We start from the raw sequence: 24,121 nt of genomic DNA, 5'->3' as shown, positions 1-24,121 counted from the left end.
CTGGGGAAGGGGAGTCAGTGCTGGAGGTGACTGGAGCCGCGGCGACGGCGGCAGCAGCTGCGGTGGCGGCGCTCTCAGCCGTGGCAGCCGAGGCTGCAGCCCGGCCCAGGGCGGCTCAGCGGACAATAACCGGGCTAGGAACCTGACCGGGCTGGGTAAGCGTTGCGTACAGCCAGGAGCCTCCGCCTGCCCGCGGTCGGGTGCATTCCCGCGTGCTCTGCTCCTACGGACTGGAGGAGGGCACTAAGGACTAGGCGGGTCGGAGTCCCGGTCGCTCGCCCCTCTCCTTTGGAACCCGCTTTGCGGACTGTCGGGTGGAGAGGCAGAGCGGCCTTGAGTCCCCTGGGCACAAGCGACCACGGCTGGGGGGAGGGGGGTTGGGGAGGGCGGGTAGGAAGGCAGGCTAGCCTGGGCCAAGCCTCCCGGCTTTCGGGGGGGCGGGGATGGGCCCGCACGTGCTGCCGCACAGTCCCGGGAAGGGCGCCGCCAGCCAGCACCCCAAGCCATGCATTTGTAGGCCAGGAGCTCTGCAGCTTTGTTGTAGCACATTTGCTGGAACAGCTGTGTAACGCGGGTACCGCTCACCCCTCTCTCCGGCTGCCTGGCTGCCGCCCCTCCCCTCCCCTGTGCATCTCCAGCCTCTCCCTCCTTTCTGCGGACTCAAGCTGGCGTGCTGGCTTGGGCCCGACGGAGACCGGCTTTGGCGTGGATTGGGACATCCACAGACTGCCCCCTCCCCAGAGGAGCTCAGTTGGGCCTGTGGGCTGAGCTCAGTCGCACACTTCCCTTCAGAACCTTGGCCTTGTGGCCCCAACTAGCCGCGCCCCTCCTCCTGGGCCTCCGGGCGCATCTGGCGCCCGCCCCCGCGGTCGGGCAGGCTGGCTGGCAGCCGGGCTCTTGCTGGTCCTTGGGTTAGAGCAGCGGCGCAAGCTAGTCCTTGAGTTAGAGCTGCAAGGCCGCTTTGTCTCCCGCCTCGCCTCGCCTCACCTCCTTTTCCCTTGGAGGATACTGGCCGCGTTTTCCTCTCCAGCCTCCCGTTTAAAAATAGCAATAGGCACGGTGTTTGGGGGGCATTTCCTTGCCAGAGGCCGAAGGAGCCCTCATTGTAGTACGGAACGTATCATACCATCTCTGTGTACAGGAGAGCTAGCGAGGTGGCCAAACCCTCCAACTTCGCAGTTACTTAACATACCCAGCCCGCCAGGCCCCTGTCATTGTCTGCTGGAGACACTTCTGACACTGGTGACCGCCCGAACGCTGGACTTTGCTTGGCTCCCCCGGTGGTGAGGGGCTGTGCCCGCTACATGCGTCACAGCCCAAGCGCCTAGGCGGCAGCTGGACTGGCCCCGCAGAGCTGGTCTCCGTTTGGCCAGGCTGCTTTCGGCAAGGGCCGCGGGGTCAAGGCGAGCCTTGTTCCACACACAAACATCTTCCTCTGCGGCTCTGCCTGCCTGCTGCAGCGGCGTGGGCATGGGCAAGGCAGAGGGCACTGCACTGTTGGACTGCCTGCCCCACCGGGATTCCAGCAGAGCCCCCTCCCCCAGTGTGGCTCCCCTCATTCGGCACCACCCACTGCACAGTCACTGCACCATGGTGCACCTCTGGCAGTGGGCTCTCTAGGCCTTTTTGAGGAATAGGACAGAGGAAGCCACTGGGGGCTTGGTAAGCTCTTGGACCTTTGATTAACCTCTGGTGTGGAGAGCCCTGTGGGCTGCAGGGCCCAGGCAAAGCTTGGGCACTTTGAGGAGGGGCAACGAGACCCAGTAAATTCCTCACTTGGGGGAAGGCTAGCTCTGGACCTTTATGACAGGAGCCAGGACCACAGATATCACACTACAGTCACCTCCTCCCACCTTGATTAGGCCCCAACACAAACCTCTACTTGCAGCTGGGCATCTCTAGCCCAGGGCTGGACCTGCCCTCTGCCTTGTCTCAGGCCAGCAGGCACCTAATGTATCTGCTCTATGTAACTCCCTTCCCCACACCCAAACCCACTCAGCCTACACCTGTCCAAATCTTCTTCCTTCTCAAACCTCAGTTCTGGGCCTTCCTTTTCCTTGGTGCCTTTCTGCCTGGCTCTTGCCCACCCATGGTGACTTCTTTCTTCTCAGAACTCCTCCAGGGCTGCCTACTTCTCCTGGGCATATTCAGGCTTAAATTATAATAGGATGCAGACTATAATTAAGTTGGCCTGCCTCTGTTTTGTCTGATATCATGGATGTCTGGGTTCTCTCAGAACCCTTTGGAGGAGTAAATAAAACCTGGACCTCAGCCACAACCCTCTCAAAGCCAAGCAGTGCAGAGCAGTTAATGATTGTTCCGGAAGGACTTGCTTTCTTTGTAGAGTTTTCCAGAAGACCTTTACCTTTCCAACTTGCGCTTGTCCTGATTCATATGAAAGTGGCTAGAGAAATGATACTCAAGGCTCAGATATGTATTGAGTGTGCCTAATGAGGATGGATTAGAAGGGGGATGATTGCAACTACAAGAAAAAAATCATGATATATCTTCCCCCAACAACAGGCCCAGGATTTGGAATGCTCAGATCCCAGACCATGCATATCTTTGGTTGCTGATTCATGAGCCAAGAGACAAACTACTTGGAGAGAGATGAAAGATCTGTATAAGCAGGGGGATCATCCATGGAAGCTGCCAGAAAGTAGAGGGGTTTAGTAGGCAAAGCATAAGCAGACCCAGGAATGGGAGGGGAGAAAGTGATTGACAGGCAGGGTGAAGGGAGTGAATGAGTCTATTCTGGTTGAGATGGTGTGGCTCAGAGGTAGAGAAGAGATTGAGGCTCAGTGATGGGGTTTCCCGGATGCCAGGCTGTGGAATGGAAATCTGATCCTTTTAGGGGAAGGCGGCATCAAAGAGTAGGGAATTGACAGGGAGTTGCTATTTTTGTATGTAACTAAGCAGTAATAAAAACAAGGTTTTTGAATGAGTTTTAGAATGGGGTCTTAGAAAGGGATCAGAAGCATGCTGCAAAGTCAGCCAGTTAAGAGGTCACCTTTGGATCTGGAAGTAGAGCTGCGGGCAGGCTACCTCCAAAGGAAAGTTTTACTATGTCAGCCTCCCTTTGGCATTGCAGGGGAAAGGGCAGGAAGAGGTGGGAAGTGGGGCTGAGAAGTGTTCCCCAGGCCTCTGCTGAACACCTTCCTCTCAGATGGGCAGTCCTTGGGGAGCACCAGTTTGAACTGCTATGCTTACAGATGAGAATCCTTAGCCTTGGAAAGCAACAGGGGCTCGCTTAAGGTCACACAGCTATTTAAGGATAGGCTCCTGCTTCCCGTGCAGTGGCTCTTTCCACTATGTTCCATGGAACCAGCAGCCTCCAATCAATGTAGATTTCATTAACCATCCCCCTCATCTTACCTCCCTCATTCCCTAAGAGGAAAGGGGGGCTGAGTTAACTTGGGAACTTCATAAGGGGAGCCTCTCACTCGTTTAATGTCTCTTTTGCCTCTTGGTCTTGGCCTATAGCTTTGCTGGGACTGAAAATTTCAAAAGGAGAGGAGGTAGTTGGAAGAATTTGGCAGTCTAATGATCCCCTCCTAGCATAGTGGAGGTATTAAAAATTCCTTAAGGGCTGGGCCTGGTGGCTCACACCTGCAATTCCAGCACTTTGGGAGGCCTAGCCGGGTGGATCACTTGACCCCAGGAGTTCGAGACCAGCTCGGGCAACATGGCAAAACCTCATCTCTACAAAAAATACAAAAATTTAGCCAGGTGTGGTGGTTTGCACCTGTAGTCCCAGCTACTTGGAAGGCTGAGGCAGGAGCCTCTCTTGGGCCTGAGACATCAAGGCTGCAGTGAGCCATGATCATGCCACTGCACTCCAGGCTGGGCAGCAGAGCAAGACCCTGTCTCAAAGAAACACGAAATTTCCTGAAGAACTGTTACATCTCCACTCGTAGATAGTGTGTATGGAAGAAACAACTCTGCTCCACTAGGAAACAGTAGCAAGCCTGGCAGGTAGAACCAAGAGGGAGAAGGGGTTTCCAGCCCCCTTGCTTAACAGATAGGCTATCTGAGGCTAGAAGAGAGAATGTCCAATGTTATTTCAATTTCCCTACCTGAATCCTGTCTGGGCAGATACAGTGGGTGATAAAGGGTTAAGCCCCTGAGGCAATATTTCATAGCCTTTCTGTGTCACTCATTCCTGGGTCACCTGCCTCATTGCCCAGTTCTTTCTCAGGGATAATCTGAGCCTGTCATGCTATAGTTAAACCTTGTGTGTGTGTGTGTGTGTGTGTGTGTGTGTGTGTGTGTGTGTTGGGGGAAGGAGTTGCGAGCAGCTGGCCACCATTGCTCTTCTGCTTAACGATCTATTGGAGATTTCATAGGCATTAAACTCTCTCTGCACCCCCAACTTCTGTTCTCTGAATTAAATAATCTCAGAGTCTTCCATCTCCTCTGCTTCGTCTTATTTTTCAAACCTGTGCGTGTGTAAGTGTATTTCTAGCAAAGGCAGGCAGGGGAACCAGAACCACTACAGAGGTACAGGTGCTAGCCCAGTAAGAGTATGTTGCTCCCTCCACCTCCCCTTTTGGAATTAGGGGAAAATATGAACAATGGAGAAAATGACCTGAGGGGCTTGGTGTGGTCATAGGCAGGCATACTGGTGCTGCAGTGGCCTTTGTGACCCTTTGATGTGCATTTTTTTTCAGCATAGAGGTTTCATTGCTTTCATCTCCTACAGTTTTTACCCCCGCTGGGCTTCCAAGTGGATACTAACCCTCCATCCCTAGTGAGTATGCCTCAACCCTCCCTCTCCATCTGCTCAGCCCTTCTTGCTGGGGGCTGTGGCTCTTTTCAGGGGAATGAGGAATGGCATGACCAGTTCTGGCCCCCCTCCTTTCTGGATATGTTGGAAATATTCACAGGCCAGACTCAGTGCATTTTGAAAGAGCAAAATGTTGAGGGGTGGTGTAAGGAGTGAGGCTGGGCCACAGTGCACCTTTGTCCTGAAGTGGTGAACTAGGTCGAACCAGCTAGGTAACCAGGCCTAACAGTAAGACCTAGGACCCTCAAAGCCAATCCAGTGCCCCCTGCTATGCCTTCTGACTCAGCAGCCATTAGAAAACTGGGCACAAGACCACTCCTCCCCCAGCCTCTCAGGGCAACTTGGAGCAAGCAGACTCCCTGGTCCAATCTCCCATTTCTATATGAAGAAACTGAGGTCCAGAACAGGGAAAGGATTTGCTCAAGTTAACTCAGAAGTCCAAAGCTCCTGGTCCGCAATTCAATTCCAGAGTTCTTCCTCGAATCACACTCTCCTTGTCCCCTCCCAAGCTTCAGTTTCCTCACTTGGTTTCTCACACAGGGCATGGTTAGTAGAGGGGAGTGGACACATAGGAAAGTCAGAGGTATCCATTGTTCACTTGACCCAGCTGCTCCTCTGTAGGGTTTCCTTGGCTGCTCTGTCACATCTGTTTCTCTGGAGTTAGCTCCTCTCCTATTCTTCATTTGAACGGGGGGTGGGGAAGGGTTGGCACCTGTCTGATCTCGCTCTAGCTGGGCTAGTACTGACTTAGTGGAAGCCTATGCAGGCGGGCATGGTACCCACTTCAGATACACTTCTCTCTAAGAAAGTTTGGGAGCCTAAGATGGGAGTGGCAAGTAAGTGGCTCCCAAAGTCCCTGTCATTCAAGGCAAGCTGGGCAGGGAGGGGACCTCAAGAGCCTGAGGAGGAACCTGGGGCACTAAGAAGACTCACCAGGAAAGCCCATTTCTAGGGAGAGGTGGTATCTGGGTGACCACATCTCCCAGACTGGGCAAACCCCTGTGTATTTGGGGCTGGGGCCAAGAGGCAGAGAAACAAGGCTGAGAAACTTGTAAGGAGCATTCAGGGAGAGCAAGCCTTTAACATCAGACATAGGGTTTTGGCCCTTATCCTGTAGGCAATGCAGAATAATTTGGTAAGTGGAGGAGTGAAGTGCTGAAACAGGAGTTGTAAGAAAATGAATCTGGCAACAACGTACAGGATGAATGAGATGGGAGAGGGGAGCCAGGGGGTGCTGCGGTAGGGAGGGACTAGAGGGAGCTCAGCTAAGAGGCTTGTGTCATCTTCGGAGAATGTGGGGTGGCAATTGGGGAGCTGGAGAGGAAAAGGTGCCTACAAGTGGCCTCATCACAAGAGCCCTTTATTGAATATCTGCTTAGTATGTAGTTACCAGTTTGCTTTTACATTGATCATCTCTAATCCTTACCACAATCCTGCATGGTAGATAGCATTTTCTTCATTTTACAGATAAGGCATTTGAGTGTCAGAGAGGTTAGGCCACTTTCTCAAACCACACAGCCTATAGAAGGTGAGGCTGGCATTCCAGTTCCGCACCAAGAAACTTCAGGTGAATTAGAATTCAGTTGAATCAGCATTGTTTGAGCTCCTGCTGTGTGCTAGTTGTAGTGACTGTAAGATGAAGGAGGGTCAATTTGAGAGAGATGAATGAACAGACCAAAGCCCGTCAGGATGAATTATACAAAGCTCAGTATGTAAACAAATCAGTTGAGAGGGGCTGGTGGGGGAATTGGGACAGGAGAGAGAAGTCCCAATTTGGGGTCTTGCTGCATCTGGAGTTGGTGAGATGCCCTCTGGGCAGGAGGTGCCCCTCAGCAGGAAGGCTGCAAATTAGGGGAGGAGCTGAAGGGGCTCTGCCAGCTGCATCTACAACTCCATCAGCCAACCAAGCCAAGCAGCCCTTCCTTTAGGCTCTGACCAAATAGTTTTGAGGGCAGTACTTGGCTATGGGTGTTAAAAATGGATCATTCAAGTTCCAGATCATCTGATAAGTCATTTTCTTCAAATAGCTCAAATTCTGCATCTTTGTCCACGTTGGCAGGTTTCTCGTTTTTGGGCCACTCAAACCTATCTCTTAAGGAAAAGGGGAGTAGAGTGACATGTCCTGTAGTTTGAGAGGAGTGGTGGTAGGGTTGCTGATGAGGAGAGCAGCCACAGGCTGGGTTGTTGGCCCCTAGATTCTGATGTCAGCAGGCTTCCTGGAATGTGTTTGGTAGGACCCAAACAGTGGCAACCAGTGAGGACTGGAAATGTGGCAAAGAAGGCTTAGCAGGGCTGGGACAGAGGTGGGATGGGATTGGGAGATTATAGTTCTTGCTGGTGTGAGGGTAAACTTTGCAGTTCTCTTGCTCAGTCTTCCTCCTTTGATTGGTGGCCTGCACAGTGCAGCAGAATGGCATGAAATTGAGACTCAACAGTTCTGGGAGCTAGTGTGGCTCTGTCACCATTTCACTATGTGACCTTGGACAAGTCTTTTCCCAAGTCTAGGCACAGTTTCCTTCTCTGTGACAAGGAGTTGCCATCCCCCACCAGGCCTGAGTAATGGGTGGCTGAGGAGGGCAAATGGGGGGGTATGGGAGTAGGGAGTGCTTTATAAAGTGGTAAATACCCTGAGGGTGAAGGATATCTGTTGATTTGCATTTCCTTTGATGTTGGTACTTTTAGCTGAGTTTGACCTGGGCTAGAGAACCTGGCTAGTTGAAAGTCCCAGATAATCCTTGGCTGCTAGCCAGTAGCTGACTCTTTTAGGTCCCTGAATATCAAAAGTTGGCTAAATGAGCAAGTAAAGCCTCCTATGACATGACCACACAGTTATCTTCATTTACCATTTGCCATTTGGGAAAACTGAGCCCCAAGGAGGTTTGGTGACTTACCCACAGAGCCCTAGGGAGCACCCTACTCAACCTGACTGAGATGATTTTACTTCTAGAAATTGTTCTACCACAGTTTGAATAAAATATGAATAAAAGTTGGTTACTATAATGTTTTTAGCTTCTGCTATGTAATGCACTTGATTTGGTACATTATGTGCATTGGTTTTACTTCTTACAATAGCCTTAAGAGGTAGGCACTCTCAATGACCTCATTTTACAGTTAAGGAAATTGAGGCATAAACATGGGAAAAAACTTGCTGGATTTCCCCTAGCTGGGCAGAGTTGATTCCAGCGCTGAAATGGCCAGCTCTCTGGAGGGCCATCCTCACCATTTTTTCTTTAACCAACCCTCCCCAACATACAGAAGGGCAGGTGGGCCTGAAGTGGGCTTGCTTTCAGGAAGACTGTTTGGAACAGGCCTGAGGAACTATGGCTGGTCAAGGCCATGTCTCTGGAGCTACTGCATAAATCCACTTGCTTCTTTTTCTTCCCCCAATTCAGCCCTCTTCAAGTTGGCCATGCTGGCCCCGGGAAGCTGATTTGGAGCAGAATGTGCAAGGCTCATATTGCAGCTGTCCCTTCTCCTTGAGAAGGGTCTCTAGGGCAGGTATGTGGCTGGCCTCCTGCCTATGTTTTAAGTGGAGAGGAGAAGGAAGAAGCTCTTCCTTTGTAGCCAGCCTTCCACTGGCCCCAGAATGGCTTGAATCTGGCTCAGGGAGCTGGAATGGCCCCAGCGCTTTCTACCACAGCCTGCTTTCTGCCATGATAGCAGCTGCTGCAGCAGGCAGTCCCTGCAAGGGACCACAGAGTGGCTTGGGAGGGTTCTCTTAACCCCCAGCCCACCTGAAACTCAGCCACACTGGTTAAGGAACATGAGGGTTGTGGGGCCCTGCATTTGGCAGTGCCACTTTCTTGACAGGACCCCCAGGGAAAGCCAGTCCCAGCCTAGGGGATCTGCAGAGTCTGTCCTTTGCTGTCTCCTTTGCTTTCTGCCCCACCTCACTCTCTTGGTGAACTCTTGTGGTCCTAAGTAAAGGCAGCATAACCCATTGAGGAAGGATAGCTTTGGCACCTGGTTGGATAGCAAAGAGTATGGAGAAGAGGCCTAAGGCAGAGGTAGCTAGGTGGGGCTACGCTAGGGAGCTACCAGCTATGGGTGACCCTGCCACCTTCCTTCCCAGTGTTCTGGGTGACATAGGCAGAGATACTGTGAATGACTGTGGGGGGACATGGCTCTGGGAGAGAGAACACAGAGTACCAGTTTAAGGCTGGTATCTGCCAGCAAAGATGACTCTGGACTTGGTTAGGAGAAGGGCCTGAACTGGACGGAGAGAAACTCCATCCCAGGGACACCCTGCGTAATTCATCTGTCTCCCACAACACACAGAGAGGGCTTTTCAAACCTCTTAGCAGAGGAGTTTGTATAGATATACACACCTTTTTAAAATCCCCTCATATCTGTCTCCCTCTCAGCATGGGCCAAGGCAGCAAGTCCCTGAGCTTCCCACAGTGAATGGCTTTCCCAAATGAACAGCCTTTAACACATGGTCAGTTGCTTCCTAAGAAACTGGGATCTGACCTGGAAGGAGTAATAATAACTGTAATGACAGTCTTTCTCATTTGCACTGTACTATACAGTTTATAAAGTGCTTTTTTTGTGCCTATTATCACATCAACTCATCACACCACTGTAGTTGGAGTGGGCAGGTAGAAGGATAGGTAGAGGAGCTGTTTTGATCTCAAAATAGCTCACAAGTACCTGCGTCTCAGCAGGCTACACTGGCCCATTCAGGGTCCCTTGGCAGATGGGAGGCTGACATGGCCTGGACCCCAGCCCTGTGGTCCATGGCTCCTTCCACAACACACTGCAGCTCCCTGTGACAGGAAAGGGGACAATACAGAGAGAGGTGAGTGGGCTGGCCTCTACCCTCACAGAGCATAGGAGCAAGGGCAAGGGAAAGCCCAAAGAGACTGTCTTCTAACTGGGGCGTCAAGGCTCTGGAAAGCAGCCTTCTTTGTGATTCAATTTGCCAAATCACTCTGTTCCCAGGAACTCCAGCCCCAAACCCAGCAGGACAAGTCAGCCTTTGATTCACAAGGATGTGTAGGTCCTAGAGTTTTTCACTTGGCTGTGAGGTTTTCCTTGAGGCCCAGCCTTACTGCCCAAGAAGTGTCTTTCTCCCTTTCACATTTATCTTGGAATATGTTTACAAGGTATAAAGAATGATACTCCACCAACCAGCTTTAGAAATAACAGGGGCTATTCTTTAAGGCAGCGGTTCCCAACCTTTTTGGAACCAGGGACCTGTTTCATGGAAGACAATTTTTCCATGGATGGAGAGGAGGAAGGTTTTGGGATAAAAGTGTTCCATCTCAGATCATCAGGCATTTGTTAGATTCTCATAAGGAGAGTGCACCCTAGATCCTTCGCATGCGCAGTTTGCAATAGGGTTCACGCTCCTATGAGAATCTAATGCCTCTGCTGATCTGACAGAAGGCAGAGCTCAGGTAATGTTCACCTTGCCCTCCTGCCTGCCGGTCACTTCCTGTTGTTTGGTCCAGTTTCTAACAGACTGTTACATATAGGACTCTCCCTGTTAGCCTAGGAGCTCCTTAGAAGCAAAGGCTGGGAGTTCTCCCTTCTTGTCCTGCCCTGAAGCACTGAATTCCAGAGGGGAATAGAATTTCACAAACAACTCCAGTACTGCCTCCCCAACTCCCCTATCCCCAACACCGTGACGATAACCTTAGCAGTAATTTTAAGGCTGAGGTAAAAATGTGCTGTGGAAAGTGGGGCATTCAGACATGATAGGGCCCCTATTCCCACCAGACCCAGGGGCAGAAAACTGGGTGATTGTGTGTTTAGGTGTGATTGTGTGTGTATTTGGAGGTGGGAGGGGGCACTGTCTATTGTGGGACTATCAGTTGCAGGGCTGAGTTGGAACAGTGTGATGTCAAAATATGTTACAGAAAAATCTCTAACCTGAGCAAATGGCAATTCAGATCTCTGCAGAGAGAGGTTCAGATGAACTTTCCTTTTCACCTGCTCTTTTCTTTTCTGGATAACCAGCTGTTATCTTGCTCCAATTTTAATATTCAGTTATGCAGAGTGTTCTTTATGGAAGCTTGGATCATCACACTGATGATTCAAGTGTCAAGCCAAGCAAGGCAGCAGGCACAAAATTAATGTTTGCAAGACAGAACCAGGGGCTCCAAGGCTAGAGTGTAGCTGCCAGCCTCTTTCCATGCTCAGTGCTGGTCCACAGTCTTCCACTTTAGGTGAATGTGTGAGTCTTATTATTATGGCAAGCAATCACAGGCCTGGTGTACTGTCCAGCTGTTCTTGGACCAAGGGTGCTTGCTTCTCTCTCCCTCTCTTACTCTTCCTTCCCTCCCCTTCCCCTTCCCCTCTCCCCTCTCCTCCCAGATTCCCCCATCTGCTGGTGCCACTCTACAGAGAGGGGACAAATTGGTGAGGGACTTCCCAGGGAGGGGTCATTGGGTTTTAGCAGGCTGGTCACTGAGCTAGCGGATGACCAGAGGTGCAGAGGTATATTGTGGTGGGTAGTGGCTAGGTCTTGTTTTTATTCCATCTCTGTTGGTATTTGGGCATTTGGAGGATTGAGAGCCTTGACCAGAAGGGTGTGGCTTGCACCAGGTTTATTTATTTAAAAAGCCATTGGGAACCTATCTCACACACCAGGAATATGAATCATGTAGGGCCTTCAAGGAGTTCCCTTCCTAGATAGGGAGCTAGATGGGGACAAAAATAATAAGAGGAGGAGAGTAGAGGAGAAACAGTCCACCTCATGGTTCTCAAGTGGAATTTGGGGTTCCATTGATGACCGCATTAAAGTATCTTCCCAGCAGGACAGCCAATAGAGGGTCTGGCTTAGACCCACCCTCATATCACCTCTCTGAGGGAGAGATATTGATAGGCCTCTTGAATGGCGAATATTGAAGCCCAGAGAGTACCTTTCTTGAGGCTCCCATTTCATTGTCTTAGCAGGTTCTAGATTGCAGACCTACTTTGTGGATGTGTGAGGCTCCTATTCTGAGATTCTGAAGCCTGAGCATGGTTCTGCAGGCAATTTAGGAAGCTTTGGATGGGAGGTGAAACTTCAGGTCCACTTTTCAGTCTCAGACAAAATGTCAGTGAGAGCCCAGACTAATATGAAACTGAAGCTTGAATCCAACAGAGCCCTGTGAGGACTCAATGGACTGTTTTGCCAGATGGTTTTCAAAAATTCTGTGATGTTGGAGCCAACATCCCTTTTGCCTTTCTTGTCTCTCCCTATCCTCATCCCCTTTGATAATTGATAATACCTCCCACAGCCAATAGCACCACTAGGCCTTTCACACAACTGCAGGTCCCCCTGCCCAGTGGTCCCCTGAGCTTAGGATGGTCTGAAGGGAGTGGACCCAGCAAGAAGGTAGGGGATGAAGGCTTCTTGTTGCTCAGTGTAGAGTTTTGCTTCCTTGGGGCCCAGAGAGAGCTGGCCCAGCAAGCCAAGCATATCGAGTGGATTAAGATTTGCCCCACATTTTCCATCATTTTCTTTCTTGTTCCACTCAAGCCTGACGTCCGGTGAAAGCAAACCCAGCCTGGATGCTTGCTCACTAGTATCTGTCTCTCTGTCTTTGTCTCTCCTATCTCCTCCAGACCCCACTGTGATGCTTCCTGACTGATAATGTTATAACAGTGCCTGGAAGCCTGAGGCTGCATTTCCAGCTGGACGTACCTCAGTTGTCCCCATCATCATGGAGACCCAAAAGGATGAAGCTGCTCAGGCCAAGGGAGCTGCAGCCTCTGGGAGTACCCGTGAACAAACAGCAGAAAAAGGAGCCAAGAACAAGGCAGCTGAGGCGACAGAAGGACCAACCTCAGAGCCATCCTCATCCGGCCCAGGTAGGCTGAAGAAAACTGCCATGAAACTCTTTGGTGGCAAGAAGGGTATCTGTACTCTGCCTAGTTTCTTTGGAGGGGGACGGAGCAAAGGTTCTGGGAAAGGCAGCTCCAAGAAAGGTCTCAGCAAGAGCAAGACCCACGATGGCCTGAGTGAAGCAGCCCATGGCCCTGAAGATGTTGTCAGTGAAGGAACTGGCTTCTCCCTGCCTTTGCCTGAGTTACCCTGCCAATTTCCCAGCTCTCAGAGTGCCCATGGGGCTTTGGAGACAGGCTCCAGATGTAAGACATCTGTGGCTGGAGCCACAGAGAAAGCTGTGGCTGAGAAGTTTCCCTCTATGCCCAAGCCAAAGAAAGGCCTAAAAGGCTTTTTTAGCAGTATCCGCCGTCACCGGAAGAGCAAGGTCACTGGGGCTGAGCAAAGTGAGCCAGGGGCCAAGGGGCCTGAGAGGGTCAGAGCCAGGCCTCATGAGCACGTGAGCTCAGCCCCTCAGGTGCCCTGCTTTGAGGAGACCTTCCAAGCCCCTAGAAAGGAAAATGCTAACCCCCAAGATGCCCCTGGGCCAAAAGTTTCTCCAACACCAGAACCTTCTCCACCAGCTACTGAGAAAATGGCCTGTAAAGATCCAGAAAAACCCATGGAGGCCTGTGCCTCAGCACATGTGCAACCCAAGCCTGCCCCTGAAGCCAGTAGCCTAGAGGAGCCCCATAGCCCAGAAACAGGGGAGAAGGTAGTAGCAGGAGAGGTAAACCCACCCAATGGCCCTGTGGGGGACCCACTGAGCCTCTTGTTTGGGGATGTGACATCCCTGAAAAGCTTTGATTCATTGACAGGTTGTGGTGACATAATAGCAGAACAGGACATGGACAGTATGACAGACAGCATGGCCTCTGGGGGCCAGAGAGCAAACCGAGATGGGACCAAGCGAAGTTCCTGCCTGGTGACCTACCAAGGAGGTGGGGAGGAGATGGCCTTGCCAGATGATGATGACGAGGAGGAAGAAGAGGAAGAAGAGGTGGAATTAGAGGAGGAAGAAGAGGAGGTTAAGGAGGAGGAAGAAGATGATGACTTAGAATATCTGTGGGAAACTGCCCAAATGTATCCACGGCCCAATATGAACCTGGGCTACCATCCCACCACATCCCCAGGCCACCACGGCTACATGCTCCTTGACCCAGTTAGGTCTTATCCTGGCCTAGCCCCTGGGGAACTTTTGACTCCTCAGAGTGACCAGCAAGAATCCGCCCCCAATAGTGATGAAGGTTATTATGACTCCACCACACCTGGATTTGAGGATGATTCAGGTGAGGCCCTGGGGCTTGTCCGCAGGGATTGTCTACCCCGAGACAGCTACAGTGGAGATGCCCTATATGAGTTCTATGAGCCAGATGACAGCCTTGAGAACTCTCCACCTGGAGATGACTGCCTTTATGACCTCCATGGTCGAAGCTCTGAGATGTTTGACCCCTTCTTAAACTTTGAGCCCTTTTTGTCCTCCCGGCCACCTGGGGCAATGGAGACAGAGGAAGAACGGCTAGTGACCATCCAGAAACAGTTGTTGTATTGGGAGCTTCGGCGGGAGCAGCTTGAGGCCCAGGAGGCACGTGCCCGAGAAGCTCATGCCAGGGAGGCCCACGCCAGGGAGGCCTATACTCGAGAGGCTTATGGCAGGGAAGCCTATGCCAGGGAGGCCCACACTTGGGAAGCTCATGGCAGGGAGGCCAGAACCCGAGAAGCCCAGGCCCGAGAGGTTCGTTGTAGAGAGACTCAAGTCCGAGAGACCCAGGCCCGGCAGGAGAAGCCCGTCTTAGAGTATCAGATGAGGCCCTTAGGCCCATCAGTGATGGGCCTGGCAGCAGGGGTATCAGGGACCTCTCAGATTTCCCACCGGGGAATTACCTCAGCTTTCCCCACCACTGCAAGCAGCGAGCCAGACTGGAGGGACTTCCGTCCTCTGGAGAAGCGTTATGAAGGAACCTGCTCCAAGAAAGATCAAAGTACCTGCCTGATGCAGCTCTTCCAGAGTGATGCCATGTTTGAGCCAGACATGCAAGAAGCAAATTTTGGAGGATCTCCCAGGAGGGCCTACCCTACTTATTCACCCCCTGAAGATCCAGAGGAAGAGGAGGTTGAGAAGGAAGGGAATGCCACTGTGAGTTTCTCACAGGCCCTGGTAGAGTTCACCAGCAATGGGAACCTCTTTTCCAGCATGTCCTGCAGCTCTGACTCTGACTCATCTTTCACTCAAAACCTCCCTGAGCTGCCTCCCATGGTGACCTTTGACATCGCTGATGTGGAACGGGATGGGGAAGGCAAGTGTGAAGAGAATCCTGAGTTCCACAATGATGAAGATCTTGCAGCCTCCTTGGAAGCCTTTGAGCTGGGCTACTATCACAAACATGCCTTCAACAACTACCATAGTCGATTCTACCAAGGCCTGCCCTGGGGTGTGAGCAGCCTCCCTCGATACTTGGGACTGCCTGGCCTGCACCCTCGACCTCCACCTGCTGCTATGGCCCTCAACAGGAGAAGCCGCTCTCTCGACACTGCAGAGACCCTGGAGATGGAGCTCTCCAATTCCCACTTGGTCCAGGGCTACCTCGAGTCTGATGAGCTGCAGGCCCAGCAGGAAGATTCAGATGAGGAGGACGAAGAGGAGGAAGAAGGAGAATGGAGCCGAGACAGTCCCCTTTCCCTCTATACTGAACCCCCAGGGGCCTATGATTGGCCTGCTTGGGCTCCCTGTCCTCTTCCAGTGGGGCCAGGTCCTGCCTGGATAAGCCCCAACCAGTTGGACAGGCCTTCCAGCCAGTCTCCATATAGGCAGGCAACCTGTTGCATACCTCCTATGACCATGTCAATATCACTATCAGTGCCAGAGTCAAGGGCACCTGGGGAATCTGGGCCTCAACTAGCTCGTCCCTCACACCTACACCTGCCCATGGGCCCTTGCTATAACCTCCAGCCACAGGCCTCCCAGAGCATGAGGGCCAGGCCTCGAGATGTGCTGCTGCCTGTTGATGAGCCCAGTTGCTCTTCCAGTTCTGGAGGCTTCAGCCCCAGCCCTCTACCACAGGCCAAGCCTGTGGGCATCACCCATGGCATTCCTCAGCTGCCCAGGGTCCGGCCTGAGCACCCCCAGCCTCAGCCCACTCACTATGGGCCTTCCAGCCTTGACCTGTCAAAGGAGAGGGCTGAGCAAGGTGCCTCTCTTGCCACCAGCTACTCCTCCACTGCCATGAATGGAAACCTAGCCAAGTAGTTATTATCAATTCTGGAGTAGGGACACGGGGCCTGAGCATGTGAATGGGGATCAGGGGTTGGGCAGAAGGGTGGGGGGGTGGGGGTTGTTGTTTAACTTGAAAACCCTTTGGGCCAAGGAAAACTCCTGTGAGTTTTCACCTTGGTTTTCCCACTTGCCTCTTCTGCCATCTATGGCCACGTTCAACTCAAGTGCATCTGCCCAGGGAGGCTGCTGCTGCTACTGCACTCCAGTTTTTGCTTTCGAGGTTTCTTCTTGTGACCCACGCTGGGTTTGGGATGCTGTAATTTTGTGCCTATTCCAGTTGCCAAGTTAGTGATTATATATATATATATATATATATATATATATATATATATATATACACACACACACACACACACACACACACACATACATACACACACACACACAAACACACATGCACACACATATATAGCATGCATCCTTGACACAGGCTAAACCTTTAGTGCCCCCTGCCCCTTTCCCCCAATGAATGATGAACCACTGATTAGCAGCCAAGTCTGCATTGCCTCCCGCTTGGGGAAGTGGGGCTTATTTGCTATTAGCAATGTGAAATTATGGTACAGATCCTCCCCACCCCTATTCCTTTTGGCCTGGCATAGCTGCCATCATTATATCAGATGACTATAAGCTATTCATCCCAGCTAGCTGTCCTTAGAGAGGATCAAGTAGCGTGTGTCTCACAGCCTATCGCTGTGGACTTTGGCATCATGACCAGATGGGGGCCTTTTAACTGTCCTGCCATAGCTTGGGTTAAAGACAAAAATGCTAATCCCCTTGATGGAGTGATAAAATTCATCCATTTGCAAACAGAAGACAAAACAAGGTTCTGTTGTGGACACTGCCATAGAGTGTTGAGCTCCGGAATGATAGGATTTTTTTTCCTTCTTTTAAGCTTGTGACTACCTGAGTTGCAGATGCTTTTGAATTTTTGTTCTTTTTTCCTCTAAAGGAAATTTTCATAATCTCATCACAAGGAACACGGTCTTTTAATTGAGATAAGGGAAGAGAAGCAACCTAAATTAGGCTTGACTATAGGGGCTGGGGTTTTTGTGGAGTGTAGGGGAAAGATAGAAAATGAGGGTCCATTTATCACAGCCAGCAAGAAAGGGGATTTCAGACCATGCAGAGCTTAAGGTATCTCAGTTTCTTAAAAGGGAAAACTCCCTTCTCAAGCCTCCCAACACAAAATGTTCCTTAAGCCTTGCCCATCCCATCATTTGGACTCTGTAATAAGGCCCCAGGTTTGCACTCCCAAGACAGGATACCAAAGGCATCTCAGCTGCTGTTCTGGGCCCTTTAAAGAGCTTTTATCTTCCAATTAGCCGAGTCCTTAGCATCATCAAATGACAGGGCTTCTTGGCAGTTGCAGCCCTTTATGGAATGAATGGCACCCTCCCTTCTCCTGCATCCATGCAGTTTTCATGTTAAACTAGGTTGGAAATACTGGTGGGGAAGAGCTTGCTGTCAGGAAGACATTGGAACAGGCTAATCTTGCCAAGCTCAACCTCTCATTAATCACCTGTAGGAGAGGGTTCCTTTTACATGTCTTTATTGGAAATGGCATATGGAACATTTTTTGCTTGGCTGTGTTCACTCAAATTATGATTATTGCACCCTCGCCCTCACATCCCACCATCTCCATGCCTGTTGAGAGAAGAAGTCAACAGGGTTCTTGCCATTCCTGAGATATGGCAATTTAGCTTGGGAACAGATGCTGTTTGCCCCCTAAGTCAAGGTGACTTTGTGGGCAAACTGTTTCTTGGCCAGGGGATGTGTCCATGCTGGTCTTTGTCACCATTTCTCAGATTGGGGTTGGCCCAGTGCCCTTACTCACAAATAGCAGACCTGGCTGGTAGAAGCTGCACCCCTGGAAGCACCACATGAATTTGCATGGCACTAACACCACCACTCAAGGGACCCAGACCAGCTCTTCAGGCTGACTTTGGCTACAGATACATTGTGAAGAAATGTATCTGTTGTGGAGCTGGAGAATGAAAGAGGGTGAGGAAGGCCCTCCTTACCCCAAGCACAGCATTCCAAGAGAGAAGTGCCCAAATTCCAACTTTCTGGCCTCTTACCAAAGCTGCTCTGGGATGGTGGGGCTGAAATTGGCCTGGCTATTTGGCAGGAAGTAAACACTCACCAAATGCCTTTACAACAGGGAAGAACCCACCTCTTGCCTCTTCTTTCAGGGCAGCTTGAGCTCCTGTCTACATGTGGACTGTGCCAGCCACAGCAGGCGGTAGAGCCATCACCAGCCTCCAGACCCTGCTGGAGAAGGGCCACCAGCCTATCTGGGAAGAGAAAAAGGAGGTGGCCAACCTTTGGCTAAGGGCTGAGAGCTGCCCTCAGGATCAGGAAGGCAGCATGAGGCATTGTCTCTGAGGGGCACTGGCATAGCCCTGACACACTTTGTTGGGCTTTGGAAGGTCACACACCACAGAGTAGGGCCTGGGGCTGAGTGAGAGTTCATGGTTTGGACAGCCTTGCTGCCTGCAAGTCCCTTCACTGCCCTAGCCAGCCCAGGAATAGGATCCTTACCACCTGAAGTGGGGCAGCCAGGATATGTGGCTGCAGAAGCAGGTTCCTTTGAATTTCTAGAGCTAAGCAGTTTGTGGCTGAAACCCAATGGCAGCCTAGGGGAGGAAGGAAGACCTGTCTGGGGACCCATGGTGTTGACAGCACAGGGTGACATTGGGAGAGCCAGCCAAGCTTCAGGCCTGTTTCCAAACACAGACTAGTGCTGGCTTGGGTGGCAGCAAATACACCCCAGACCACTAAAACTGTTGATATCATGTCCACACCTCCAAGAGTACTACTAGATGAACAACATGTCTCCATTGCAAGGTCCTGGAATAATGCTTTTGGATGTGATTTTAAGGGAAAATGGGACTTAGTGGAAGTAGCTGCCTTCATCTTATTACCCAATAGGCCTAGTGCCAGACAGCTGTGATCCTGAGAATTCCCAGATGAGACTGGTCCTTGGAGGACCAGTGAATGTGGATAGAGAAGGCCACCTAGTAGGCCTCTCCCAGGGCCAGGATGCCAGTTTCTTGGTGCTTTAGAGTCTCCAAGGAAGCACTGCCTTGGGGCCCAGTTCAAGCCAGCCCTACCTATCTGGCCTCAGCTTGGGTACCAGGCCACAAGACTGCCCGGATAATGGGTTCAGTAAACACCAGTCTCTCTCCCTCCTTAGTCCTATGCCAAGAAGGGAAGTAGCTTCACACACTCAGGAGGCTGGGTGTGTACCCTTCATCCTGCTGCCAGCAGCTTTCCTTACCTGTGCCAGTGCCACCACCCCACCTGCCCTCAGCCCCCAGGCCCAGTTGCTAGAGGGAGGCATGGGGTTTAGCAGGGAGACTTCAAGTTTACCCATGTGTATGTTGCATTCAAGTTGTTTTTAATATATATATATATATATATCAAAAGTCAATTATCTATTTTTATATTGTTTGCATTTTATATTCATGGAAAACAATGTTTATCAATTGTTCTTTTCTGATTTATTTTTAAGCGGTGCTGTTTACAGTTTTAAACAAAACAAAGATGACACAAAAATTGCTGCTGCTTGTGCAGAGGGCTGGCATCTCAACTGCCTAGGGCCCTCCCTCTTTCCCCTCTCCCTACCTTAGCTGTACCACACTGTCCGTTCCCTCCCCCCATGATAGGGACAGCAGAAGATGCCCAGGTACTGAAGACAAACGCCAAGTGACTCAGGCGTGTGGGACCTGGTAGACAGCTTGTCATTTTCTGGCTTTATTTTATGTTTTTCTTTCTTTTGAACCCTTCTTCCCCATGTCTAGACCCTCTGAGAGTACTCATGTGTCTTATTTTTTTTCCTCGTTATGTTTTGTGCTTTAGTTTTGAAATCAGAGTGCCCATGTTGTGCTATTTGTCTTGTTGAGTTTCTCCAAAGGAGCATTTTGGGAACATTCTCCACCCAATGGGGAAGGAAGGGGGTTTCAACCATGTCCCCTTTCCCCAAGAAGCTGTGGGAGACAGATGACAATGATGCTTGCACTATCAGGAATTTACCATCTCGTTGAGGAAACCCTTGCATAGGACTTCCTAGGAGCTCAGTTGATTGTGACATTTTCCCAGAAGAGAGGCTTTGGGGAACTCCTTCACCCCTCTTGCTGCTTTGGGGGAATCTCCTCCCCTACCACCATTCCCCCTCCCCTGCCCTGCTCCAGCTCACACGTGGATGGTACTTTGGGGAACAGTGACTTTCAGGGTGATGGCTTGCTGGCCTGATCCCTGACTTTCCAATCCTATAGTCACTCCAAAGAAGAAAATCCACATGGTATGTATATGTGTGAGGGTTGGGTCTATTGAGAGGTGGGACTTTAATTATTGTTATTATTATTGGTGCTTATTTTTCCTGCTGTATATGGGGGTGGGGGTGGGGGGGAATAAAACAGGAATGTATATTTAGGTCATGTTAAATAAAATGGCTGGAGGAAGGAGGGAAGAAATTAGGAACTGCAGTACATCATCACCCCAGGTGTAAGAGTTATTTCTCTCCCAGTGCAGAAAGGGGAGTGTGGCCCCTGGCTGTACCTGAGCTTCCTCTTCTCCATCCCTGAGACATCACAGAATCACCCGGGTTCTGACCTCTCCACTTCTAGCTCTCACTGACATCTGGATATCTTGATGCACTGCCTGTTTGTAACAACATATACTTCTTTGCTGAATGCTAATAAACTTCTGGGTTCAAGAGGGAACCCCTCAGTCACTAATGTGCATTCTTGTGGTTTGTTCCACAGTAGTGTGCCTGTAACCCATGGTTGTTGGGATTGCCCTTGGAGAGAAATTGAGAAACCAAGGAGGTGGTGGGTGGAGGTGGAGTAGGGAGAACCAGCAGGGGAAACAGAAGCCAGGGCTGAAATTGAAAGTAGAGGAAATTGCAGTTTTTCATCCAAGCCATGCCTTATATCCCAGTCAGATGCCATATTGGCAAACTCTCTATCACACCTTCTATGCCTTAAGACCTGCCCCTTAAGTCCCTGTGCACTGCCAGGGGCTGGCTAGCACTTCTAAAATTAGCCTCAATTTCTGCAAGTATGTGGCCTCCCTACCAGCCAGGAGACAAATGTGTGTACCTCCTGCTGATGGCTCAATCAAAAGGTTATATCTAATGGTGGGACCGGCAGGCCAAGCTGCAGGAATGGCATCTTTTATCCGGGACTATGGGCAGAGATGCTGGCCAGATAGCTGCCTGCCCCACCTATTCAGCTGTTGGGCTGGGTGGGGAGATGTGGCTTCTGCCACTTATTGCAGGGCATCTTATCCAGTGAGCACCAGTGGTATACCATAGCAACAACCAGTCACCTTGGGGGCATGTGCTGATTTCCAGGCCTGTCCTAGCCTAGGTAGGAATCACTTGCCACTTTCTGCTACCACACAAATGCCTACCTGTGCCACCAACCAAGAGAAGGTGATTGTGCTCATGGCTTTGGTTTCTCTAATCCAGATTCTTACCCTTGCTCCCTGGCAAGCAAGGGCATCTGGCACCTGCTGTAGATGCATTCCTGAGTTCCCCCCAACTGCAATCTCTAAGCAAGCCAAAAGGCCTGAAATAGCAGTTGCTTGAAAGTGCTGTGGGCAGTGCTGCTGCGGATATAATTGAAGGGATCCCTAGGGCCCCTTCCCAGGCCAGCAAAGAAGCTTGGTGGCCCTCAGTATTTCATGAATCAAGCAAAGCCAATTAAAAGCAAATTAGCAAGACAAAAAAAGAGAAACTTACGGGAGGGGAGTTGATATTTCATAGAAATTGGATTAACTGTCCTGGGCTGTCCAGGGAGGGAAGGAGCAGGCATGATTGCTAAAGGAACTTTTGGAGCAAGACCCTCTGGGAAAGTCCATAAAATCTCATTATATCTATTAGAAATTCATAAGGGTCCTGGAGTCTGAGAGGCCTGTGTTTCTGCCAATTTTTGCCCCCAGTTAATCAACTGGGCTGTGGGCAAATCTCATCTTTGGCAAATCTTGGGCTAGATTTTACTTGACTGGTTCCCATATGCAAGTCAGAGTCTGGGCTACCTCAAATGACTCAGGACTTTTTCAACTACCTAAGTGCAGGATTTCTCACCCTGATTCTGACTCAGGTGGCCCGTGAGGGAGTATTTTTTGTTTTACCCATATGATGCTGGTGTATTGAACCTGCTGGACAAGAGCTTTTCCTGTTCTGCCATGACAGATGGCTGCCTTTGCTGTGGTCCCCTGAGGAGTGCTTTGCAGTGCTTATTGGGGTGGGGGTCGGGGGGGTGGGTGGCGTTGATGGAGGGAATTTCTTAAGAACTTCCTTTTATCATCAAGAAACTCACTTTGGTCAGCTCCAGCACTGTTCTATGGTCTGTTTGAGGGCTGGGGTTGTGCCTAGCAAGTGGTCAGCCCTTGTTTCCAGTTAATGTTTAAAGCAGACGTAAATCCAACAGATAAGAGAGCTTTTTGTAAGCCTTTTTGAAACTGCTGTGGACAAGCTGCTAGTTCCCCACTGCCCCACTTCCAAGGAAGTTGACTGGGCTCTGGGCCCTACTGATCGTGTTCTTCCTTTGCTTAATAACTCCTAGGCTTTAGCTGAGCTGCCTGGCTTCTGGGAACCAAAACTAGCCAGTAAGAGCAAGTGACCTGAGCGTGACATTTTGTAGTTTGCAAACTCTTTCCATCTTTGTTATCTTCTAAATGGCCCTAAAAAGTAGATGAAAAGAGCAGGTAATTTCATCCCCACTTTATAGATGAATAAAAGAGTCATGGAGAAGTAGAGTGACTTGCTCGTGGTTATATAGAATACTGACTGCAAGTCAGTGTGGAAAAGGGTAGGGCAGGCTGGGGTAGAAGAGGTAGAAGAGAAAGTTTACTGCTAATAATTCTCCAAGCACAGGATGAATAACATCATTGATATGTGCCAGGCACTAAACACTACATTTTCTTGTGTAATCCTCAATTTAACCCTATGAAGTTGACATTTGGTGTTATCCCTATTTTCAGATAAGAAAACTGAGACTCAGGGAGGTTAAGACCCTTTCCAAAATTCACCCAACTAGCTCACTGGACTCCAAATCTTGTGCTTTTACCTTTGCACTTATAGTGAAGCTGTCAGCTGAACATTAGGGATAACTCATAGCAATGGCCCCAGCAGCTGGCCTCAGGCCAGAGCATCCTAAAGCTGAAAGGGACCTCTAGCTGCCTCCCTATCCCACTATGCCCAGCCCAGCCTCCAAGCTCCAAGGCCCTCTCCCCCAGTCAGCAGGGGAGCTTGGTGGCTGTGGCCCTGGTGGAGTCCAGGGTGGGACTCCCATCCCCCACCCAACCCCCAGCCTTGGATCTCTGAGAATTGTTTCCCTCTAGGTGAGCTCAACACTCCTCCCACTTAAATCTGCTAATAAGTGCCCTGGGAAAGATGATGAATAGCAGAGTGAGTCAATAGACATGAGCACTTAGATGCCTGGAGACAGGGCCTCCCACCACTCAGCTTTCGCCACTCAGACCTTTATCATCAATTGGAGCGCTGCCTCATGAGGAGCTACTTAATTGTAAATCACTTAATAGTCACAGTGGTAAATAGTCTCTTTCTTTGGGAGAATAATTGCTGTCTGATGGGCTCTTGAAGGCTGTTCTTTGTTCCCTCAGTTTCTCTCCTACTTTCCCACTTGCTCCCTCTGGATGCCCGAGCACATTTTCTCTGCTCCTTCCAGCCTATGAGGCACTTCATGCAGCTTTCTAAGGGCTCCTGTGCAGCACCCATCACCAACAGGAAGTGGATGATGCTCTAAGTAATGTTATGTCCTTTAAGAGGCCGAAAACGGAATGGGCATCCATCTCCATCTTCAAACTCAGATGTGTCAGGGCAAGAAACAGCCACTGTTTGTTTTCTTTGAAGTAACTGAATTCTGACCCCAGACTCCCCATCCAAACAGGGAAGTAGGAAATTCCATGTCAGTCATGACTGGGAGTCCCCACTCCCTCAAGGGTGGCACTGGAATCCAGGGACTATTTGTGGTGCTCAAAAATCAGGTCAAGGGCAACTAATCTCCCATCTATTCCAGTCGCCACTGACACCCTCATTTTTTACACCAATAGTAGGGGAAGGAAAGCTAAAAGCCCTGAGATGTTAGGTTCTTCCTCCCTCTGAGCACCTTAGGGCTATGTCCACCCTCTCCTTGAGGAGGAGTTTCTACAGCTAAGGGTTCCTACAGTCCCAGACTCAGGAACTCTTCCTTCCCAGCTGGAGCTTCTTTTCTCTTTT

General features: G+C 50.5%; 1 protein-coding gene across 1 annotated transcript, besides 1 other annotated feature; it reads left to right on the top strand.

Moving 5' to 3' along the window:
• AMER1 (APC membrane recruitment protein 1) lies at positions 17–20,608 on the top strand. The gene is made up of 2 exons (NM_152424.4): positions 17–155; positions 12,341–20,608. The coding sequence occupies exon 2, from the start codon at positions 12,439–12,441 to the stop codon at positions 15,844–15,846; it is 3,408 nt and encodes a 1,135-aa protein (NP_689637.3). The 5' UTR covers positions 17–155; positions 12,341–12,438; the 3' UTR covers positions 15,847–20,608.
• Positions 851–910: a silencer, noted in NCBI's record as "silent region_20877". NCBI's record gives its function as "represses an Ori minimal core promoter by ATAC-STARR-seq in GM12878 lymphoblastoid cells {active_cell/tissue: GM12878}" and the evidence as "EXISTENCE:reporter gene assay evidence [ECO:0000049][PMID:35858748]".

This window comes from Homo sapiens, chromosome X (assembly GCF_000001405.40).
Source record: "Homo sapiens chromosome X, GRCh38.p14 Primary Assembly".
In the NCBI taxonomy this organism is placed as follows: domain Eukaryota; kingdom Metazoa; phylum Chordata; class Mammalia; order Primates; family Hominidae; genus Homo; species Homo sapiens.
Note: the sequence above shows the minus strand (reverse complement) of the source record. Positions and strands in the feature narration are given on the sequence as shown.

Bases quoted from the DNA above. Each gene is read 5' to 3' on its own strand.
- AMER1 (NM_152424.4), top strand. From the start codon at position 12,439: ATGGAGACCCAAAAGGATGAAGCTGCTCAGGCCAAGGGAGCTGCAGCC.